This window comes from Homo sapiens, chromosome 3 (assembly GCF_000001405.40).
Source record: "Homo sapiens chromosome 3, GRCh38.p14 Primary Assembly".
NCBI lineage: Eukaryota > Metazoa > Chordata > Mammalia > Primates > Hominidae > Homo > Homo sapiens.
In genome coordinates this window covers 132230744-132233467 of record NC_000003.12, presented here as the reverse complement: position 1 = coordinate 132233467, position 2724 = coordinate 132230744, and the positions used below count along the sequence as shown (strand labels likewise).

Sequence of the window (2724 nt, the reverse complement as noted above, 5' to 3'; positions counted from 1 at the left end):
TAGCATGATTTCAAGGATATTTTTGGTCAGGATGAGGCTAAGTAAAAAAAACAGTAAGTTGATTTCAAGACAAATAGTAAGTAAATACTACTATAGGAGGTATGTGGAAATGATAAAAACTGTGACAATGGAAAAAGTAGGTGATAACATTTAGAAAATACCCAATTTTCTGAGGAATTTCCTGGAACTGAAAGCTTTCCTGAGATGTAGAACATTTAGTACTAAAACTGGGTAACTCTCCAGTAAACCAGGATGGTTGGGCACCCTGTATACAACTACAGCCTGATATTTATCCCACAAGCATTTTTTGAACACTTGTGTTGTTCCAGGCAGTGGGAGCCTTCAAAGGACCCTGCCTCTAATGTGCTCTAAGTAGAGTGGACCCCAGTCCATATCCTGCCACTGACATGCTTGTGATTTTAAGCAAGGCTCTTTGGCTTCTCTCAACCTGTGTTTCTTAGTGTACAAAAGAAGTGGTTGAAATAATGATCTCTAAAACCCTTCCAGCACTGGAGTTCTTTGATATGAAGCACAGAGTACGTCTGCTACTGTTAAAATCTCAACTCCCACTGATGGCCAGCATGAGAAAAGAACAATGAGCAAAGCATGCATTGTAATTATTTTCTTAGCTCTCAGTTCCAGCCTGAGGTAGAGGAGCCTCTTCTATGCTCCCAACCAACCAAAACTCTGACACAAAATGATCATCCCAAATGTAGGATCCCTTGGAAATGCCTGAATAATGTATGCGGCCTAGGAAATTGGCAGAAGAGACACTTCTCAATAGGCTCAAACATGTAAGATTTACATAAGAAGCACCTGCACAATTTATTAGGGTGAGAGGAGATGTTTATGAGGTCAGGAAATATAGGTTGCTGTAACTGTGGTTGTGTTTAGAAGTTGAAAATGAATCTTTGGTGGCTGGACCAGGATAAATTATTTACTTGGTTGATTAAGAGACTCTCATCTAGAGTGTTGTTTCTCTTCATCAAATAACCTTTCAAAGTTGGCAATATTCCAAATTTCAGGGACGTTATGTTACACAAGAGTGTAACTCACTGACCATCTGTTTTTGTGTGACTAAAACCATCTTACAGTTGTGGCTTGGAAAAGCTATCTCACACAAATTGTTATTTATATATATATTTTTCCAGAGTCAATTTAATGCAACAAATATCTGGAGTGCTAGTTATGAGCTCAATTCTGTGAAGTCATGAAGAGGAATAAGAATCTCAGTTGCTAGGAGCCTTAGCTAAGAGAAGCTCAACAGGAATCCAGTCATCCACATTATATTGATGTTGCCATTTGTGGAGAATCTGATTATTTTTACTTGGAATTGAGGTTTGCCTTCTGTGAGATATGGTGGACAGGAATAAGGCTCTGGGTACTGGCCAGTCTAAGAAGAGTTTCTTGGCTCCTGAGAACTTAGTTTTCAGGAGTCCTGTCTTTTTTCATAATAAACCTCTTCTAAAGCTTGTAATGCCCAGACTTCCTTCAGACAACATTCTAATTATAGCTCCCCTGAGTCACTGGAGGTTTTTAGAACCAGAATGTTGAGAGAGAGAGAGAGAGATAGACTATAAAAGCAAGCTTACCAGCATGGGGGTATAGCTCAGGGGTAGAGCATTTGACTGCAGATCAAGAGGTCCCTGGTTCAAATCCAGGTGCCCCCTGTGCATTTGTGTTTTTGTTTCAGAAGAACATGGATTGACTTTGACTTCTTATCTTCTATGGCTCATGGCTGATTGAATAATAACTAATGTCCCTGGCTTGCATTCTTAGTACATGCAAGTCTAGGCCCTTTACATTGGTTCTCCTCTATTTCTGACCACAGTTTTACAAGACACATACTTGTTTGCTTGTATTTCCATTTTACATGAGGAGGCTGAGACTTGGAGATACTTAGTAATTCACTCAAGGTCAAAAAGCTATAAAGGGCAGATTCAGGATTTGAACTCAGAGCACACACTCTCACTGACTTAAGTATACTACACATACTGCTCTCCTAATGTTAAAATCTTTGTGACAAACTCCTACTAGGCAATGTTCCCACGGTCCTGTGATTGCCTATAGAGTTTTAGAACCTGTTGGCCACAAGGAAAACCAGGGACTTAGTGACTGTGCCCATACTTTGCACTGCCCTGGGGAAAGCGAAGGAATAGGGTTTTATCCACAGAACATTTTCAGGGAGGTGAACAAGAACTGGTCTGAAGTTTAAGGAACTGCATTTTTCTGCTTTAAAGCTTAAGGATTTCTATTACCTTCCATCCCCTGTTCATTTCCTACAGCCAAATACCCCCACATTGGGTAACTTCATTCAGGACCCAGGCATGGAGCCAGAAGTCAGGTGTAACTCCCACCCACAATACAGGCAATGCTCTGTTTTTAGATCAGTCTGAACAACATACACTGGGCACCTACTATGTACCAGAACCATGCAAAGTGTGAGCCCAGTGGTGAATAAGACATTAGCCCCTGCCCTCATTCAGGGTGTAGGCATATAGAATAAGAAAATAGAGTGTATGAGCTGTACCTAGCTGCGATAGGTGCAGTAACACAGAAGAGGCAGCGATTACATCTGTTCAGAGGAGGGGAGGTGAAGGTAAGCGTCTGGAGGAGCTGATGGCCAGTCAGGGTTTCAAAGATGAATAATATCTTACAGATGGAGGGTGGAATGGAGGTGGGGTTGTGGAGAGGGATGGTTGCAATTCCAGGCAGAGGAAACAG

General features: G+C 41.3%; 1 non-coding gene across 1 annotated transcript; it reads left to right on the top strand.

The window, feature by feature from the left end:
* The first annotated feature begins 1598 nt into the window (after window positions 1–1598).
* TRC-GCA9-1 (tRNA-Cys (anticodon GCA) 9-1) lies at window positions 1599–1670 on the top strand. Its single transcript has one exon. It is a non-coding gene; the product is annotated as a tRNA-Cys (tRNA).
* The last annotated feature ends 1054 nt before the right edge of the window (window positions 1671–2724 follow it).